Here is a 22,436-nt window from a genome sequence, read left to right on the forward strand (position 1 = left end):
GGCAAGTCTGTGAACCTGCCAAGTCTCAGTGCCCTCAGTTGTCAGATGGAAATATCAGAATGTCAGTTCCACCAAGTTTGGAGCATTGTGGGAGATTCAAAAGAGACGGTGTTGGTGAGATGGTCCTGTAAATATCAGGCTCAGGGCACACTCATGGGTTGCTCTCTTTAGTGTCAGTGTTTACTATTTATTTTGCATTTCCATTTGATGTGAGAAATTTAACAAGAGAAAATCAGGCTTCTTTTGACTTGAAAAGTCATTTTGTCCCTTTCTTTGATACTGCATAAGTTACGCCCAGGCAAACTGGCATTAAAGAGACTCTGGCTTGGGAGGGACCTCAAAGAGCATGCAGTGTGTCCAGGATCTAGACAGTTTTAGAGATCCCAATTACCCAGCCCTCGGCAGTTCCAGAATGGGTCAAGGATGTGTGTAGCCAGTCCAGTGCCTTGAGGAGGTTCCACATTTGCCTGCTGCAGAAGTGAGAAAATGGGATCTGAGGAGGCAGATAGTTGTTTGGTTTTTCACATTTCAGTACGGTCACACCGGGCATGAGAAGGTAAAGTGGATCCTGGGTGTCTCTCTCATAGTCACTGAAAGGGCCTAGCCAGACCCTCATGAAAACTGGGAAGTAGTCTCACCCCAGGATCTGTCCAGGGCCCCATCCTGAGGAAGTGGGGTCGTGTCCTTTTGGAGAGGAGCCTCAGGTTGGGCCTGCTGGTGTGTGGGGGGTCTGCTTAGGAGGGAAGAGGATGGCTGGACTCCATTCAAATAAGACTTCCACAACCTTCCCCGTCTAACCCTGGAAGTGTGGAAAGTCTTCTCATGGCAAGGCCACGAGGGCTCATATATCAAAGATGGGGAAACTGAGGCCCAGAGAGGAGCAGGTGCTGGCCCTGGGTCTCATGACAAGTCATGAAGACATTTCCTTGGCCCTTGTTGATCCTGTGCACCTTCCAAGTTCTCTGTCTGGCTCCTCACAATAGTGTATTTTCAATTCTCCTAGAAACACAAGCCCATCATCATATTAACCTGGCCCTGATGAATGCTCAGGTCCTCAAAGTCAGCCCTAGAAAGTAAATAGCAGGTTTGGAAAGCCCTTTGAACCCTCAGAGGGAGATCCTGGCCTTGCTCAGCCTGTTGCTATGCAGTTCCAAAGTGGAGGCTGCCACGCATTTGCAGAGCTTTTAAGTCCCTTCCCCCACCCCATGTGCATTTTAGGAACCTTTTGGAAAGAAATGTGTTGCTAGGAGCTTGGGCTTTCCCTCTCCTTTAGAAAGAGAGAACTGTTTTTGCTTTGAATTGCCTTGCAAACAGATTGAGGTGTCTCCCTACCCATTCTTTCTTTTGTTAAACCAACCCGATTTGCCACGGGTAGTTAAGTGGAGATCATGTTGAAAAAGAGTGCTTAGCACAGGGTCACTACGCAGAGTGGCTCCCATTCCCATCCTTGGCAGAGCATCTCACCCTTAATTTCATTATTAATCTGGAGGGAGAGGAATCGTGCAAGTCAGTTGAAAGCAGATGCCACCTAGGAATTTTAGGTCCATCACGTCATCAAACAAAATGAGAGTAGTTTGTAAATTGGAAAGTTTGGCAGTGGGTGGTTGCCCTTTGGAAGATTCACTGTTTCAGACCAGCTTTCTGAGTCTGGGAGGAGTCCCTGGTGCTACAGTGGGAAGAATACCCACCTGAGGGCCACCGACATGTGGTCTGGCTTCAGCTTTGATACCAACTAGCCATGGCACTTGGGGCAAGCTATTTCCTCAGACTGGGCATCATTTTCTCCATCTGTACAATGAAGGAATGGTGTAGGGGCATCCAAAGGGCTCCTCCAGCTCTGGCATTTCTGAATTCTCCAGTAGCAAGTTAAACTCTAAGTTACTTAAAATATTTGAAAAGGATAAGTAATAATTTGTTCTTTTTGAAATTACCAGAGACTTGAAAGCATGGGGTTGTATTTTTGTTTGGGTAGGTGGGGACTGTGACTGTTACATAAGTGATAACAGTTTTAGAAGTTTTAGCTAAAGACAAAGTTGACATGTATTTATGTAGGACCAAATAATAGAAAAAAATTCCTTTAGAGACCCCTTGTTTTATGCTTGAGGATGCTGCAGCTGAAGAAAAATATCATGCTTGCCCAGGCTTCCCTGGCAAGCTGCTAGGAGCTGAGGTGGTCCAGGACCCAGGAGGCCCAGCTTGCAACCCACTGCTTGCCCCACACCGCACTTCCTAGGATCTTACAGAAGAAGCCTCCAGGCCCTCAACTCCAAATGGGACCTGCAGTCAGCAGAATATAGGGCTGAGTGATTCTGATTTCTAGCTATCAGATACTAGCTTATCAGAATGGAATTTTTATTCTCCACCCCTGCCCCCAACATCCAAGGGTTCTCTGTTAACAGTAAATATTTAATTTTCTTGGTTTTGTACCAATGCCTAATTTAAAATAAAACAGATTTTTTGAATATTGGGGGGTGGTCCTTAGGGGCTTGTTATTTGGATTTATTTTATTTCAAACAGATGGGCTGTTTTAGGTTTGACTTCATATTTGCTAATTTTCATTATGGAAAAAAAAAAAAAACAATCCCAAGCCACCCCACCCTTATTTTTGTACTGAGTAACAGTTTGTCTTGTCTAAAAGAAGCTTTTATTTTCTCAACTGTTTGCACCCAGCGTATTCAGCCTTATTTTGTATTTTTAATCACATAAATGTGTTGGCCACCTATAGCTTATGGGATGTTCACAAAATGCGCCCCACTCATTCCCGAACAGCCACCAACTTTGGGACTGTATCTCTCAGCTCCAGCCCAGCTACCTCTTGTCTAGTTCCCAGCCATCCACTCCTCTGGCCTGAAGCCAGACTGTATGGAGGTGCAGAGTCAGAGAGGCCTTGGCCTTGGAGGGAGGCACCCTGGTGCCTGGCCCAGCTCTACTGCCTTGCTGTGTGACCTTGGGCAAGTCCCTTCCCCTCTCTGGGCCTCACGGTTCCCACTGTTACAAAGAGGAGGCTGACCTAAAGGGGCTTTGTGGAATTTTCCTCTTATTATGTTAGATTGTTATATTTGGAAGATGTGACTTGACCAGTACAGTACATGACCTTTAAATCCTTTCTAGAAGCAATATTTAGTGATGTTTCTGAAAGAGTTAGGAGGTCTATATCTCTGAGATGAACTAGTACTTTCTGAAATTTATGAAAACAACAGTTACCACTCTTTGAATACCCACTGTGCCTGGAGACTCTTGTCCTGCTGTTTCTTAGAAACTCACCCATCAGCTGTGAGCATTTTCTAATGGTTTCCCCTCAGGCCTTTAATCTTTGATCTCAATACCTTCTCCCTAGGAGATTAATTGATCACTTCTAACTCTTTTTTTAATTTAATTTTTCACTTGACATAAATTCAGACTCTCAGAATATTTGCAAGAATAATACAAATAATGTTTAAATACCTTTCACTTGATTCCCCAAATGTTAACATTTTACCACATTCTATGTTATATCTACCACCCCCTCACACACACACACACACACACACACACACACACACACAATTTTATTCTGAACTTTATGAGAACAAATTGTAGGTATGATGCTCTTTTATCTCCAAATACTGCATTATATATTTCCTAACATTTCCTAAAACGTTCTCCTGCATAAGCACATATTGATCAAAATCAGGAAGCTAATAGTGGTACTAATCTATCTAAAGACTTTAATCTAAAGGCTTTATTCAGATTTTGCCAATTGTCCTAATAATGTCCTTTATAGCAAAAGAAAATCCAGGATCATGCAGTGCATTCAGTCGTTTTGTCTCTTTAGTGTCCTTTAATGTTGAATGGTTCCTCAATCTGTCTTAGTGTTTTGTAGCATTGACATTTCTGAAGAGTACACGCCAGTTATTTTGCATAAAGTCCCTCAGTTTGAGTTTGTTGCCTGATGTTTCCTCATAGTTAGATCAGGGTTATGTACTATTGGCAGAAATACCACAGAAGTGATGTTGTCCATCAGTGTATCATATCAGGAGGTCCACGATGTTAGTTCCATTCATCCTATTCCTGGTGATTGTCACTTTGATCACTTGGTTAAGGTGATGTCTGCCAGATATCTCCACTGTCCAGTTCCTATTTCTTCCCGTTGCAATTAATGAGTATCTTGGGGAAATAAATATATTTTGAGGCTGTTAGTATCCTAGTACACCTCAAACTTTCACTCACTAGTTTAGCATTTATTGATGGTCTGTGCCTGGGGCAAGATGGTCAGTGCATTATGCTGGTTGCCAAATAATGAATTTCTGATTCCATCATCCATTCTACATTTATTAGTTGACTTTCTACTATAAGAAAGAACTTTTCTTTCACTCCCATTTATTTACTTATGCTTTTATTTATATTAGGTTGACTTGTGCATTTTTACTTTGAGTTATAATCCTTTCCTATCATTATTTATTTTGATGCTCAAATTGCCTGAGGTTTGTCCCGTGGGAACTCCTTCAAACTAGTTCCTATGTCTTTCTGACATGCCCCTAATCATCCTCTGAGCGCGCCCTTAATTTCTGGCACATCTGCTCCAGGCTCATCTTGTGCTTTCCCTGCCTTAGCCTTAATATCAGCCATTTTCCCATGGAATCTTAACTTCTTTTAGTGAAGAATGGTATTTAAAAACTAAGATCTGGGTACTAAAAGCATGCGCATTTCTACAGATGTGGCATTGTTACTAAACCCTCTCAGTCCACAAAGCTAGGAAAATAATTAACTCACATCTATATCTATTCCTTTTTATTTATTATTTTGGTAATATCTATTTCTCTATCTATCTATCTACCTGCCTACCTACTTACCCATAAACCATGAGTTCACACTGATAACCTCCAAATTCCAATACAACAGCAAAGTTCATTCTATCTTCCCCCTTCCCATATTTGTAGTTTCCTTGCAAAACAGTGAGAAATCTCTCTGCCATTACCATAATATATTTACTCACTTAATCCTAGAATATATAGAAGCTAGTTTCAGAGTTGCTAACCCATGACTCTATGAAGAAGCCAATTGACAAGAGTACAATATTTGTTCAGAATTATTTTTGTCTTTTCGTAAGAGTGAATCCTTCAAGCACTGTTAAAAAGTTACCTGGGCTAGTTCATCTCCCGGGCCCCACTGAGGTCATTTGAATATGGTTTAGTTCACTTGTTTCTGTTTAGATTCCTTTTTGTCTGCCCCCCACCCCTGAACCATCTTTCTTTGTTAATTTTAATTATTTTTCTGTGAGCATGTGAAATAATAACATAGTTTCAAAAGTTAGAACTGTACAAAAAGAAATCCTCAGAAAAGTGACATCTCCCATTACTTCTGTCCTTTCCACCTCATTCCACTCATTTCCTGTAAGTAACCAACTTCATTAGCTTTTCTGTGTTTCCTTTTGCACAAATGAACAGATATCTGTGTATTTTCCCATACCCCTTCCTTACATAAGGGTGGCTTAATAGACATACTCTTTTGAGCTTTGCTTGTTCACTCAAACGCATGTCCCAGAAATCACTCCATATAGAGATCTTCTTCATTCTTTCATTACAGCTGCATAGTACTGCATTGTGTAGATGTACCATAGATTATTCAACCAACCTCCTATGTGTAGCCATTTAGATTGTTTCCAATATTTTGCAATTAAAAATAAAACAAACAACCCAGTACATATGTATTTTCATATTGTTAGAGGTATATCTTAAAGAGTACATTTCTATAAGTGGGATTAATGTGTCAAAATGTAAAAACAAATGTAGTTTTGTTAGGTATTGCCAAATTCCCCTCCAGAAAGATTGTACCAATTTGCATTCCCATTAGCAATGTATGAGAGTGTTTTTTTCCCCAAAGCCTCACCAACAAAGTATTTGCTTTACTTTTTAATTTTTACAAATCTGATAGGTGAGAAATGGTATCTCAGTGTAGTTTAATTAGCATTTTTCTAATTAGGAGTGGCTTGGAACATCTTTTCATATGCTTAAGAGCCCTTTTGATATTTTTATGTGTGTGAATTATCTGTTCATGTCTTTTCTCCCTTTTTCTATTGGGTTTTTAGTCTTTTACCCTCAATTTTAAGAGTATTTTTCTGTGTTAGGTATATTAGCTTTTTTTATTTGTGATATATGTTGCAAGTAATTTCACTTAATTGGTTTGTGGTTTTTTTCAATGTTTGTTTTGTTTTGCCATGCAAAAAATTTTTTTATGTCGTCAAGTATCAGTCTTTTCTTTTATCATATCCGGATTTGAATCACAGTTAGAAAGCCTTTCCTCACATCCAGTTTAAAGAGAAATTCACCAAATTTTCTTCCAGTATTTGTATGGTTTCATGTTTTACATTTAGATTCCTAATCCATTTGGAGTTTATTCTTATGAATGGTATATGGGAGGGATCTTACTTTACCTCTTTCCTTTTTTCTTTTTGTTTCTCTTTTTTATTCTTTTTTAGAGACAGGGTGTCACTCTTTCACCCAGTCCGGAGTGCAGTGGCATAGTCATAGTCAGTGGTGGGGTGGTGTGCCACAACCACACTTGGCTAAATTTTTTTTTTTTTAATGTTTTGTAGAGAGTGGATATTGCTATGTTGCTCAGGCTGGTCTCAAACTCCTGGGCTTAGGCGTTCCTCCTGTCTCAGCCTTCCAAAATGCTGGGATTATAGGCATGAGCCACAGCACCCATCCCCTTCCCTTTTTTCAAGAGACTACCCAGCTATCGCAGCCCCATTTTACAAATGTTCATCTTGCTCCAGTGATTTGAAAAGTCACCATTATTATATATTCAGTCTCCACATATACTTGGGTCTATTTCTACATGCATATTTTATTCCACTGGTCAATTTGCCTATTCTTCTTCCAGTACCACACTGTTTTAATTATAGAGGCTTTATTGTGATTTTTAACAGCCTTTTATTTTGAGATAATTGTAGAGTCACATACAGTTTTAGGAAACAATACTAGAAAGATCCTATTTACCCTTCACCCAGTTCACAGCCAGGACAGTCACATTGATACACTCCATCCACCTTATTCAGAGTTTACCAGTTATACATGCACTTATTTGTGTACATGTGTGAGTATTTAATTCAAAGCAGTTTTATCAAATGTGTAGAGTCATGTGACCACAGTCAAGAAAAAGAAATAGTGCCATCACCACAAGGATATGCAATCCTTTGTGTTGCTGTTTTATACCAAACCCACTTCCCTCCTGATCTGCTCTACCCCAACTTCTGAACCCATGGCAACTAACCAGTAATCTGTTCTCCATTCCTATAGTTTTGTTATTTCAAGAATGTTATGTAAATTCAATCATATAGCATGTGATCTCTTGAGATTGGCTTTTTTCCCTCAGCATAATTCTGATAGTGGTGTAGTGCAATACAGGAGTAGTCCATTCTCACAGGTGTGTAGAGATATCTCATTGTCATATTAATTTGCATTTCCCTAACGCCTAATGAGATTGAACATATTTTCTGGAGTTTATTTTTCATCCATATAACTTCACGGAATGTCTGTTCATGACTTTGGCCCATTTTCTAGTTGGATTATTTGCATTTTTTCTCTTTTTTTTCACTGTTGAGTTTTGCAAGTTCTTTATATATTCTAGATACTTGTATTTTGTCCAATATGTAATTTGAAAATACTTTCTCTCAGTCTGTATCTTATCTTTCCCTCCTTTTAATAGGTTCTTTCACAAAAAGACTATTTTGGGGGTCAGATTTTTGTGGTTGAGTCTAAGAACTCTACCCCAAGTCTTAGGTCCTGAAAATTTTCTCTAATATTTTTTAAGTTTGATGGTTACACATTTAAGGCCATAATCGATTTTGAGTTGATTTTTGTATAAGGTGTGAGGTTTAGGTTGATGTTTATTATTTTTTTGCCTATGGATGCTCAATGGCTCTAGTAGCATTTGTTGAAAAGGCTATCCCCACCTCACTGAACTGCTTTTACACCTTTGTCAAAAATTCGTGGGAAATATTTTTATGGGTCTATTTCTGGGCTCCTTATTCTGCTCCACTGATCTATGTGTCTATCCCTCTGCCAATACCACACAGTCTTGACTAATGTAGCCATATAAAAATGTTAATACTGGGTAAAAGTACTCCTCCCATTGTATAATTGTTTCTCAAAATTGTTTTAACCTAGGACTTGTGCCTTTCCATATATTTTAGAATAACCTTGTCTACGTCTACAAAAAACTTTGCTGAGATTTTGATGAGAACTGCATTAAACCTACAGGTCAATTCAAGAATTGACATCTTTACTATGTTGAGTCTTCTAGGCAGTAAACATAGTATGTCTCCTCTTTTATTTAGGTCTTTATTCTTTTATGAGCACAAAAAAGGTGTTTATTATTATTTCTATTTGATGTTCAACTCTTTTTTTCTGAATTCTTTTTATTAAAATTCAAAAATGTCAATATTTTCAAGGGAAATACAATAAGTGAAAATATTTTAAATATATTCTTATAAATGTATTCATACTTGTTGATGTAGTATAAGACTGCAGCAATAGAGTACAAAATTTGAAACACTTCAGATTACAAATATTTTGTCCCATTTTATTTTATTTTTTTTTTTTTTTATTTTTTATTTTTTTTTTTTTTGAGACGGAGTCTCGCTCTGTCGCCCAGGCTGGACTGCAGTGGCGCGATCTCGGCTCACTGCAAGCTCCGCCTCCCGGGTTCACGCCATTCTCCTGCCTCAGCCTCCCGAGTAGCTGGGACTACAGGCGCCCGCCACCACGCCCGGCTAATTTCTTGTATTTTTAGTAGAGACGGGGTTTCACCGTGTTAGCCAGGATGGTCTCGATCTCCTGACCTCGTGATCCGCCCGCCTCGGCCTCCCAAAGTGCTGGGATTACAGGCGTGAGCCACCGCGCCCGGCCCTGTCCCATTTTAGAGTAGAGTTTTAAAAAATCACTATTTTCATAAAGAAAATATAGAGTTTTTTTAAAGAGAGAAAAGAAATTGCTTATAAATGTCAGTTGCAAGTATAATTTATTGTGATTGGAACTACTATCAAGATTTACTTCGTATGTAAATTTCTTTGATAAATTTTATGGATTTTAATAGGTCACAGGAAATCTCATTGTGCTCCTCTTTGATTTTTTATATTTTATTTTATTTTAAGTTCCAGGATACATGCACAGGAGTCTTTATTTCTTACAAAAGCATTTTGTAACTTTCTGGATGCAGATCCTATACACATTATATTATATTAAATATCTAAGTATTGCATTTTCTATGCAGCAGTTGTAAATGGTATGTGTTCTCTTAACACAGTTTTATTGATACCATTCACATACCACCGAATTCACCCATTTAAAATATTCAGTTCAGTGGCTTTTAGTATATTCATAGTTGTACCATCATCACCAGTATCTAATTTCAGAATATTTTAGTTACCCTGAAAAGGAACCACATATCCATTAGCAAACATCCTCAATTACCCCCTGCCCAAGCCCTTAGTAACTATTAATATGCTTTCGGTCTATATGGATTTACTTATTCTAGGTATTTCCTATAAATAAAACCATAAGATAAATAGCCTTTTGTGACTGACTTCTTTCCCTTAGCATAATGTTTTCAAGCTTCATCCATGTTGTAGCTTGTATTAGTACTTCATTCCTTTTCTTTGCCAAATAATATTCCACATATTATTTGTGATACACCATATGTTGTTTCTCCATTCATCAGTTGATAGAAATTTGAGCTGTTATCACTTTTTGATTCTTATGAATAATGCTGTTGTTAACATTCATGTACAAGTTTTTGTGTGGACATATGCTTTCATTTCTCTTGGGCATATACCTAGGAATGGAATTTTTGCATCATATGGTAACTCTATGTTTAGCATTTTGAGGAACTGCCAAACTGTTCCAAAGTAGTTGTGCCATTTAACAATCTCACCAACAATATATAAGAGTTCCAGTTTCTCCACATCCTTGCCAACACTTGTAAATTTCTGTCTTTTTTATTATGGCTGTTCTAGTGAGCATAAAGTGGTATTTCATTATGATTGTGATTTGCATTTCCCTGTTGGCTATGATTTTGAGCATCTTTTCACGTGCTTTATTGGCCATTTGTATATCTTCTTTGGAGAAGTGTTTATGCAGAGCCTTTGCCCATTTTTATATTGGATTATTTGTCTTTCTATTGTTGAACTGTAAGCATTGTTTATATATTCTGAATTCTAGACCTTCATCAGATATAAGAGTTGCAAATATTTGCTCCCATTCTGTGGGTCATATTTACACTTCCTTGATGGTATTATTCGCAGCACAAAAATTTTAATTTTGATGAAAGCTAATTTATTTAGTTTTTCTTTTCTCACTTGTGCTTTTTGTATCATATCTAAGAAACTATTTCTTAACCCAAAGTCAAAGATATATTTCTATGTTTCTTCCAAGAGTTTTATAGTTTTAGTTCTTACATTTAGATTTATCTTCCATTTTGAGTTTTTAAATTTTAAAATGTTTAGTTAATAAAAATTGTGTATATTCAAGGTGTACATGATTCGATATATGTATATATTGTGTAATGATTACCACAATCAAATTAATTAACACATCCATTACCTCTCATAATTACCATTTTTTTGTGTATATATGTGTGTGGTGAGGACACTTAAAATCTGCCCTCTTAGCAAGTTTCAAGGGAACAATGCAGTACTACTAACTATAGTCACCATGCTGTACATTAGATTCCCAGAACTTATTCATCTTATAACTGAAGGTTTGCACACTTTCACCAAGATCTTCCCATTTCCCCCACCTCTAAGACATTAACAACCACTATTCTACTCTCTGCTTCTAGGAGTTCAGCATTTTAAATTTCTACATATAAGTGAGACCATATATTATTTGTCTTCTTTGTCTGGCTTATTTCCACTTCAGGTCATGCAGGTTCATCCATGTTGTTGAAAATGGCAGGATTTCTTCTTTATGCCTGAACAATACTACACACACACACACACACACACACACACACACACACAGAGTTTATGCTTGAACAACATAGTGGTTTGGGGTACCAACCCCCTGCACAGGCACAAATCCACTTATAACTTTTGACTTCCCAAAAACTTAACTACCAATAGCCTACTGTTGCCTGGAAGCCTCACCAATAACATAAACAACACATATTTCATATGTTATATGTATTATATACTGTGTTCTTACAATTAAGTAAGTTAGAGAAAAGAAGAGGTTATTAAGTAAATCATATGGAAGAGTAAACATATTTACTATTCACTAAATGAAATGGAATCATCATAAAGGTCTTCATCCTTATTATCTTCATATTGAGTAGACTGAGGAGAAGGAGGAAGAGGAAGGGTTGCTCTTGCTGTCTTGGGGATGACAGAGGCAGAAGTGAAGGAGGTGGAAGAGGAGGCAGGAGAGGCAGGCCCACCCAGTGCAAATTTATGGAAATACATCATAATTTCTCTCTAACTTTTTGCTTTTTTATTTCTCTAAAAAATGTTTCTATATAATACCAATCCTTCTTCCACCATTTGCTTTAGCTTCAGGTCCTGTATCATAGAAGGGTTCATGCTGTAAAGGAAGTCAGAAGCTGTCTTGAGTAATCAGAACCCTTCTGTTCAATTGTCTAATGTCAATTTGTTTCCCAGCACTGCTTCTTTTATGTCTTTGTCCTCATGGTCCAGCACTAGTTAGGAAGCACTCATCTCCATAAAGTTGTCTTCTGTTATTTCCTCTGGCATGGTGTCTATTAGCTCTATAATTTCTCCAAGATCCATATCTTGAAATCCTTCAACACCCATCTTTTTTTTTTTTGCCATATCCACAACCTCTTTCATGATTTCCCTGTTTATTGTCATAAATTCTGTAAAGTCATGCACAACATCTGGACACAGTTGCTTTTTCCAGCAGTAATTTACTGTTTCAGGCTTGATGGCTTTCACAGGTTTTTCTAAACAATTATGGCATATTCAATAGTGTAATCCTTCCAGACTTTCATGATGTTCTTTCTATTGAGGTTCTCTTCCAAAACATTGACAATCTTTCTATACAGTAACCTGTGTGGTGAGTCTTAGAAGTCCTTATGACCCCCTGATCTAAGGCTGAATTAGAATTGTGTTTGGGGGCAAGTAGACCACTTCAACACCTTCAGTGTTGAACCCATGGAGTTCTGGGTGGCCAGGAGCATTGTCCAATATCAAAAGAACTTTAAAAGGCAGTCTCTTACTGACAAGGTACTTCCTGTCTTCAGGGACAAAGGATCGATGGAACCAATCCAGAAAAAAATTTTTTTATTGTCCAGGCCTTCTTGCTGTGCAACAAAAAGATCGGCAGCTGGTGTTTATCTTTTCCCTTCAAGGCTCAGGGGTTAGCACCTTTATAGATAAGGGCAGCCCTGATCATGAACCTGGACTGCCTTTGCCCGAAATTGCAAAGTTAGACTATCCCTTCCTGCCTTAAATCCTGGTGCTCGCTTCTCTTCCTTACTACTAAATGTCCTTTATGACATTTTTTTTTTTCCAGTATAAGGCACTTTCATCTGCATTAAATCCTGTTCAGGCAGATATCCTTTCTTATCAATGATTTTCTTTTTTCTTTCTTTCTTTCTGTTTTTTGGATAACAAAGGATCTCCAAATTATATTGAAAAATAAATCATAATTAATATTACTCAAAAATTTTCAGCATACTTTTCAAAAATGATTTATGTAAAAGAGAAGAAAATACACATAATTTTAAAATATCTTAAACTCTTTTATTCCTTACTATAGACATTAATTTTGTCTTTTGTTTTCTTTCAATTTTCTACAATTTTCAACTTGTACCTGTGTTTAATAGGTAAGACATTAACTGATTGCTTTTCTCAATCTAAGGATTATATAGTTTTAGTATAAATATATATCACATATTTTGGTAAAATTTTGACAAAACTGAATAATCATGCCTTGTTTTAAGTCCATACTCCTTCCACTGTTTATCAAATCTGATTTAATGGTCAAAAAATTCTTGGTTGTCATTCTTCTTTTACAAGTCTTCCTGCTAAACTGCCAACCAGTTTTTACGTAGTAATAAAAAGCAGTAAGAAAGCCAAAGAAATGGTGTCTGGGAACATCTCTGCTACCTCTTAGTCAACAGAAGCTGCTTCTCCTGTTATTTTGATATTTTTTAAGCCAAACTGCTTTCTAAAATTTGTGAAAATACAGTATTTGTGGGATGCGTATACAGAGGGCTGACTTTGCTCACACATAGGTTCTGAAGGGCTGACTGTAGGACTGTAGTATGTGTGGATTTTGATATATGAGTGGGGTCCTGGAACCAACCCTTCATGTATACCAAGGGAGGATTGTAAAATATTATCTGTAAAGTTTCTGTAGATGCTTGTTATCAAGTTCAGGATGTTCTCGTTTGTTCCTAGCTTTCTGAGATTTTTTTTATTATTATAAATGGATGTTAAATTTGCTAAATGCTTTTTCTGCATCAACTGTTATGATCCTGTGATTTTTCTTTTTTAAACTGTTAATATTGTGGATAACATGGAGTGTTTCCAAATGGTGAACCAGCCTTGCAATCCCGAGATAAACTCCACTTGGTCATGGTGTATTATTCTTTTTATATATTCCTGAATTTTATTTGTAAATCTTTTGCTGATTTTTAAAATTTAAGTTCATAAAAGATATTTATTTATAATTGTCTTTTTCTGTACTGTCTTTGTCTTGTTTTGGTATCAGAGTTATAAAATGAGTTGGGAATTCTTCCTTTCTCTTCTACTTTCTAGAAGACATTATGTAAAAGTGGCACTAATTCTTCTTTAAACATCTGGGAAAATTCTCCAGTGAAACCATCTAGGTATGGATATTTCCTTTTCAAGAGTGTTTAACTACAAATTCATTTCCTTAAGGTATATAGGGCAATTTAGATTATATATTTCATGTTGTTTAAGTTGTGACAGTTAGCTAATAATTTCTTATAAATTTTTGCATCTATATTCATGAGGGGTTTTGGTCTGTAGTTTTCTTTTTTGTACTCTTTTTGATTTTCATATCAGGGTAATACTAACTTCATAAAATGGATTGGGAAGTAAGTATTCCCTGCTCTTCTGTTTTTCAGAAGAGAATGTGCAGAATTGGTTTGGTTTTACTTTTTCAATGTTTAATAAAATTCTCCAATGAAGCCATCTAGGTCTGGAGATTTTTGGAGGGAGTTTTACAATTATGAATTCAACTTCCTTAACAGTGATAGTGCTATTCAAATTGTTTATTTTGGTAGTTTGTGCTGTGCAAGGAATTGGTCCATTTTATCTAAGTTGTCAAATTTCTGTGTAGAGTTTTTGGTAATATTCCCCTATTTTTCTTTTGATTTCTGTCAGATCTGTGATATTCTCTGCTTCATTTCTGATAGTAGTGATTTGTATCTTCTCTCTTTTCAATCTTGCTAGAGGTCAATTGTATTGACCTTTTAAAAAAACTAGCTTTTTGCTTCATTGATTTTCTCTTGCTTTTCTATTTTCAAATCCATTGATTTTTATCTTATCTTTATTATTTCTTACCTTCTGCTGCTTTGAGTATATTTTGCACTTCTTAGATTCTTGAAGTATAAGCTTACATGATTGATTTAGCTTACATATTAATTTGATACCTTTCGTTTTTCCTAATGTACATATGCTTTTAGTGCTATACATTTCCCTCCCAACTCTGCGTTAGCCATGTCCCACATGTCTTTATAACTGCTGTTTTCATTTTCATTCATTTCAATGCATTTTTTTTTTGAGACAGAATCTCACTCTGTCGCCCAGGCTGAAGTGCAATGGCATGATCTCGGCTCACTGCAACCTCTGCCTCCAGGGTTCAAGTGATTCTCATGCTTCAGCCTCCTGAGTAGCTGGGATTACAGGCACACACTGCCACGCCTGACTAATTTTTTGTACTTTTAGTAAAGATGGGTTTCGCCATGTTGCCCAGGCTGGTCTCGAACTCCTGAGCTCAGGCAATCCGCCCACCCTGGCCTCCCGAAGTGCTAGGATTACAGGCGTGAACCACTGTACCCGGCCCATTTCAATGCATTTTTAAATTTTCTTGGAGACTTCCTCTTTGACTGATGGTTTATTACGAAGTGTGTTGTTTAATTTCCAAGTATTTGGCGATTTTCTTGATTTCTTTCTGTTATTGATTTCTAGTTTGATTCCATTGATCACATTAGAGAATGCTGTGATTTCAATTATTTTAAATTTGTTGAGGTGTGTTTTAGGGCCCAGGATGTGGCCTATCTCAGTATATGTTCTATGAACACTTGAAACAAATGCGTAATATGCTGTTGCTGGATGGAGTGTTCCATAAATGTCATCTAGAACCTTTCAGTTGACGATGTATTGTTGAGTTCTTCATCTTTGCAGATTCTGTCTAGCAGTTGTATCTGTTGTTGAGAGTGGAGTGCTGAAGTACCCAGCTATAATTGTAGATTTGTCCATTTCTCCTTTTAGCTCTCTCAGTTTCTACTTCATGTGTTTTGAGACTCCATTGTTTGGTACATACACATCTAGGACCATTATGTTTTCCTAGTGCATTATTATTTTATCATTATGTAATGTCTGCCTGTCTCCAATAATTTTCTTTGCTCTGAAGTCTTTTTTGATGATAATGTAGCCACTAATGCTTTTGTAAAATTAATATTTGCATGGTATGTTTTCTCCATTGTTTTACTGTCAACTTACCTATGATGTTGTATTTAGAGTAATAGAATAGAGTTTGGCCATGTTTTCGTTTGTTTGTCTGTTTTTGTTTTTGTTTTTTTGAGACAAATTTGCTGTGTTACCAGGCTGGAGTGCAGTGGTGCAATCGTTGCTCACTGTGTCCTCAAACTCCTGGGCTCAAGTGATCCTCCCACCTCAGTCTCCCAAGTGTCTGGGACTACAGACATGCGCCACCATGCCTGGTTAATTTTCGTATGCTTTGTACTCTGCCAACCTCTGTCTTTAATTAGTGTTTTAGACCATATAAATAAGAGGTATTGTTCACATGTTCTGGCTTAAGTCTGCTACTTTATTATTTGTTTACCCTTTGCTTCCTCTGGTTCTTGTCCTCCATTTGTTTCTTCTTTGTATTCTCATGCTTTACTTAAATCTATTTTAGGATTCCATCTTGGTTTATGTTTTATGGTTTTTAGCATATTACATTGTATAATTTTCTTAGCATTTACTCTAGATATTACAGAATATGTATTAATTTATCATAGTTTACAGTCTACATTTTATAAGTTCGAGTGAAGTGTGGAAATTTTACTTCCATTTAGGTCCTTCTACCCTTCCTACTTTTAAAATGTAATTATCTTAAATATTTCCTCTATACACATTCAGTATCAAATAAGATGGCATTATAACTTTTGCTTCATTCATCCAAGATGATTTAATAAACTCGTGAGAAAAATAGTTTATTATACTTATCACTATGTTTGCCTATTCTGAATTTCTTCTTTTCTTTATGTAGTTTCAAGCCTTTTTCTGTTATCATTTCCTGTCTGTTTGAGAACTTCCTTTAGGCATTCATTAAGGGTGGGATTCTTAGCAACAACATCTTTTAGTTTTTCTTCATCTGAAAATACCTTTATTTCCCCTTCATTATTGAAGGATATTTTTGCCAGATACATAATTTGGGGTTGACAGTTCTTTTCTTTCAGCACTTGAAAAATGTACCACTTCCTTCTGTACTCCATGGTTCCTGAAGAAAAATCCACTGTCATTTGAATTAGTGTTCCTCTTTAAGTAATGTGCCATTATTCTCTGATTGCTCATAAGGGTTTTTTTCTGCTTCTTTTAGTTTTCAGAATGTTAAATGCAATGTGCCTTGGCATGGATTTCTTTGGGTTTATTATGTTTAGATCCCTCAGATTCTTTAATCTGTAGGTTTATGTTTTTCATAAATTTTGAAAATTTTCAGCCATTATTTCTTTGACTAATTTTTCTTACTCTCTCCGCTCTTCCTCTCTTTCTGGGTTTCCAATGATAGAAACGTTTGGATCTTTTGTTATTGCCCACAGATCCCTGAGCCCCCTCTTCTTCTTCTTCTTTTTTTTGTTTTGTATTGTTTTGTTTTGTTTTCTTTAGATTACTTTCTCTTTGTTGTTCAGGTTGGGTGAATTATACTGATGTGTCCTCAAGCTCATTAACTCTATCTTCTTTCATCTTTACACTACTAATTAACCCATCCAGTGAGTTATTTTATTTTTGTTATTGTATTTTTCAGTTCTTTAATATCCATTTGTTTCTTTTTTATAATCTCAATTTCTTTGCTGAGATTTTCTATTTCATTAATTTGTTTGAAGTGTATTTGTGATTGCTGGTTGAGCATTTTTATGATGATTTATTTAACATTCTTGTTAAATAATTCTAATATCTGAATCACCTTGGTGTTGACATCTGTTGATCATCTTTACTCATTCATTGTTGTGATTTTCTTGGTTCTGGGTATGATTAATGATTTTATTATCATACCCTAGACAATTTGCATATTATATTTTGAGACTTTGGATGGTATTCAATTTTACTTTTTAGCGGGCAGTCTTTGTGTTAAAGTGTAATGTAAGGGCCAGGTGGACATATTGTTCATTTTCTTGCTAGGCCCCACTAACACCACTCTGGCAAAATAGAGCGCTGACTGACAAAGCCTTATTGCTGATAGGTGGAGTGGAAGTTCAGCTTACCCTGGGCCCTGCTGGGGAAAGTGGGGTACTAAATTGCCCTGCCTTGTTGCCACTGAGTAGGATGTAAGCCCAGCTTCCCACCAGCCCATGCTAGGGAAGAGGGAAATAGAGACTGATCCATATTGCCTTTTTGCTGCAAGGTGAAAGAGAAATCTCAAATCCCTGCTGGGTCCATCTGATACCAAGTTGAAAGGGAGGAACAAAAGTGCAGTCTAGAGCTGCCTATTCTTCCTTATTCAGTCTTGTTGCTGCTAGGCAAGGGTATGGAGGTTCAGCTCCCCACTAGTCTTTGCTGATACCAGTGATTGGGTGGAAAATGGACTGCTGGCCATCCCTGACTTGCAGGACTGAGTAGGGGTGGAAGTAAAGGTTTCCAATCCACCTCACTAATACCTGAGGTGGGGGTTACTTGGTAAAGTCTAGTGCTGATTTAGCCCCATCTCGTACCACCTCATTAAGTCTGCCAGGTGGGAGTGGAGACTCAACTCCCCTCCTGACCTTCCTTACACTACCCTGATGGGGAAGTGGTAGCATGCTTGGGCCCCTGACACCTCTGGGCAGGGGAATCAGAGGACCGACATCTGCTTACATGAGAATTGGGGATGGGGTGGAGTGGAATATCAACTTCCCACTTTGCTAGGCTGAAACCACAGGAGAGGGATGGTTTTTCTGTTGGTGTTGACTAAAGTAGGGTGGGTAATTTCAGAAAGGTTTTCTGTTATTTAGGCCACCTTTTCCACAGTCCTTTTACTAGGGGAAAAGGCTTTTCCTGGAGGAGTTTTTTAATTAAAAAAAAAATACTTTTTTTAACAGCAGCTTTAATATTACAGCAAAATTAAAAGAAAGACAGAGTTCCAATATACCTCTTGCCCCTTCATGTGCATAGCCTCCCCCCTCCCCCATTACCTGCATCCTGTATCAGAATAACACATTTGCTACAATTGATGAACCTACATGGACACATCATTGTCACCCAAAGTCCATAGTCTACGTTAGGGTTCACTTTTGATGCTGTACATTCTATAAGTTTGAACAAATATATGATGACATGTATCCATCATTACAATACACAGATCACTTTCATTGCCTTAAAAATCCTCTGTGCTCTGCCTATTTATCCCTCCCTTCCAATCCCTGGCAACCACTGATCTTTTACTACCTTCATAGTTTTCCTTTTCCAGAATGTCATATAGTCAGAATCATACGGTATGTAGCCTTTTCAGATTGGCATCTTTCACTTAGCAATATACATGTGAAATTCCTCTGTGTCTTTTCATGGCTCAATAACTCATTTATTTTTAGTGCTGAATAATATTCCATTGCCTGGATGTGTCACAGTTTATCCATTCACCTACTGAAGAACATCTGGGTTGCTTCCAAGTTTTGGCAATTATAAATAAAGCTACTATAAATATCCATGTGCAGGCTTTTGTGCTGACATAGGTTTTCAACTCCTTTGGATAAATGTCAAGGAGCATGATTGTCAGATCATATGGTAAGAGTATGTTTCGTTTTGTAAGAATGCCAAACTGTTTTCCAAGTGTCTGTACCACTTCGCATTCCCACCAGCAATGAATGAGAGCTCCTACTGCTCCACATCTTCACCAGTATTTGTTGTTGCCAGTTTTCCAGATTCTAATAGGTGTGTAGCCGTTATCTCATTGTTGTTTTAATTTGCATTTCCTTAAAGAAATAAGATGTGGAGCATCTTCTCACATTCTTATTTGCCATTTGTGTATCTTCTTTGATGAGATGTCTGTTCAAGCCTTTGGCCCATTGTTTAATCAGGTTGTTTGTTTTCTTATATTGTTGAGTTTTAAGAGTTCTTTGTCTATTTTGGACAGCAGTCCCTTATCTGATGTGTCTTTTGTAAATGTTTTCTCCCACTCTATGGCTTGTCTTTTCATTCTCTTTGCAGAGCTGAAGTTTTCCATTTTAATGAAGTCCAGGTTATTAATTCTTTCTTTCATGGTTTGTGCCGTTAGTGTTGTATCTAAAAGTCATTGCCACATCCGGGGTGATTTAAGTTTTTTCTTATGTTATGCTCCAGGAGTTTTATAATTTTTTCTTTTGCATTTATGTCTATGATTCATTTTGAGTTAATTTTTGTGAGGGGTGTAAGGTCTATATCTACATCCTTTTTTTTTTTTTTTTTTTTTTTTTGCTTATCAATGTCCAGTTGTTCTAGCACTATTTGTTGAACAGACTATCTTTGCTCCATTTTACTGCCTTTGCTCCTTTGTCAAAGAACAGTTGAGTATATTCCTGTGGGTCTATTTCTGGGTTCTCCATTCTGCTGCATTGATCTATTTGTATATTCTTTTACCAGTAGCACACTGTCTTGATTATTCTATCTTTATAGTAAGTCTTGAGGTCAGGTAGTGTCAGTCCTTTGACTTTGTTCTTCTCTGTCAATATTTTACTAACTATTCTGGATCTTTTGCCTCTCCACATAAACTTTAAAATAAGTTTGTTGGTGTCCACAAAAGAATGTGCTGGAGTATTGATTGGGATTGCACTGAATCTATAGATCAAATTGGGAAAAACTGGCATCTTAACAATATTGAGTCTTCCTATTCATGAACATGGAATCTCTTTCCATTTATTTAGTTCTTTGATTTTTTCATCAGATTTTTTGTTTTCCTTATATAGATCTTGTGCGTATTTTCTTAGATTTATATGTAAGTATTTCATTTTGGGGGTGCTGATATAAACAGTAATATGGTTTTTTTTAATTTTAAATTCCACTTGTTATTGCTGGTATGTAAGAATGTGATTGACCTTGTGTCCTGTAACCTTGCTATAATGACTTATTGGTTCCAATGGTTTTGTTGCTGTTGTTGTTGATTCTTTCAGATTTTCTACATAGAGGATCATGTCATCTGCAAACAAAGGCAGTTTTATTTCTGCGTTCCCAATGGGTGTACCTTTTGTTTCCTTTTTTTGTCTTATTGCTTTAGCTAAGACTTCCAGAACAATGTTGAAAAGGAATGATGAGAGTGGACATACTTGCCTTGTTCCCAATCTTAGTAGGAAAGCTTCTAGTCTCTTACCATTAAGTATGATAGTAGCAGTTTTTTTTTGTAAATATTCTTTTTCAAGTTGAGGAAGTTCTCAATTCTGAGTTTAATGAGAGTTTTTATCATGAATGGGTGTTGGATTTTGTTAAATGGCTTTTCTGCATCTATTGATATGATCATGTGATTTTTCCTCTATAGCCTGCTGATGTGATGGATGACGTTAATTGGTTTTTAAATGTATAATCAGTCTTGCATACCTAGGATAAATTCCATTTGGTCATAGTATATAATTGTTTTTATACATTATTGGATTTGACTCATCAGTATTTCATTGAACATTTTTCCATCTATGTTCATGACAGATAGGAATCTGTAGTTTTCTTTCCTTGTAATGTCTTTGTCTGGTTTTTGTATTAGGGTGTTGCTGGCCTCATTAAATTGAGTTATAACATATTCTCTCTGCTTCTATTCTCTGCAAGATAATGTAGAGAATTTGTGTCATTTCTTCCTTAAGTGTTATGTAGAACTCACCAGTGAACCCATCCAGGCCTGGCGCCTTCTGTTTGGAAAGGTTATTAACTATTGATTCAATTTCTTTAATAGATACAGGTTTGTTTTGATTGTATATTTCTGCTTGTGTGAGGTTTGGCAGATTGTGTCTTTCAAGAAATTGGCTCATTTTATCTAGGTTATCAAACTGGTGAGCCTAGGGTTGTTCACAGTATTATTTTATTATGCTTTGAATGTCCATGGGGTCTGTAATGATGTCCCCACTTTCATTTATAATATTAATAGGTCATGTTCTCTTTTTTTCCTTAGCTTTGTCCAGAGGCTTATCAACTTTATTGATCTTTTTAATAAACTAGCTTTTGGTTTCAATGATTTTTCTCTATTGATTTCCTGTTTTTAATTTCTGCTCTAATTTGTATTATATATTTTATTCTGCTTACTTAGGGTTTAATGTGCTTTTTTTTTTCTTTTTTCTTTTTTGAGACTGGGTCTCAGTTTTTGCCCAGGCTGGAGTGCAATGGTGCGATCATAGCTCACTGTAATCTCAAACTTGTGCACTCAAGCAATCCTCCCACCTCAGCCTCCTGAGTAGTTGGGACTACAGGCATGCACCACCATACCTGGCTAATTTTTTTTTTTTTTTTTTTTTTTTTTTTGTGGAGGCTTGTCTTGCTATGCTGCCCACACTGGTCTTGAACTCCTGACCTCAAGTGATCTTCCCAGCTCAACCTCCCAAAGTGATGGGATTACAGGTGTGAGCCACCATGCCTACCTAGCCTCTTCTTTTCTAATATTTACATTCAAAGCTATAAATTTCTTCTTTATCACTGATTTTGCTGCAGTACACAAAGTTTGATAAGTTGTGTTTTCATTTTCTTCAAAATATATTTTCAACTTCTCCTGAGATTTTTGACCCATGTGTTATTTAGAAATGTGTTGTTTAATCTCCATGAGTTTTGGCGTTTTCCCATTATCTTTCTATTCTTGATCTCTAGTTTAATTCCATCGTGGTCTGAGAGCAGACATTGTATGAATTCTGTTCTTCTAAATTTGGAAAAGTTTATTTTATGGCCCAGAATGAGATCCATCTTGGTGAATGTTCCATATGAGCTTAAGAAGTATGTGTATCTACTGTTGTTTGGTAAATGTCAGTTATATCCAGTCGATGGTGTTGGTGTTGAGCTCAGCTACGTCCTACCTGTGTGGGGTTTTTATTTCTTTGTTTTG

At 36.8% G+C, this 22,436-nt stretch overlaps 1 protein-coding gene across 11 annotated transcripts in view; it reads left to right on the plus strand.

Moving 5' to 3' along the window:
- The window catches only part of MAMLD1 (mastermind like domain containing 1), a 152,602-nt gene that overhangs the window by 12,741 nt on the left and 117,425 nt on the right, over positions 1-22,436 (plus strand). The window lies entirely within an intron of this gene.

The sequence above is a fragment of the Homo sapiens genome, chromosome X, assembly GCF_000001405.40.
Source record: "Homo sapiens chromosome X, GRCh38.p14 Primary Assembly".
In the NCBI taxonomy this organism is placed as follows: Eukaryota; Metazoa; Chordata; class Mammalia; order Primates; family Hominidae; genus Homo; species Homo sapiens.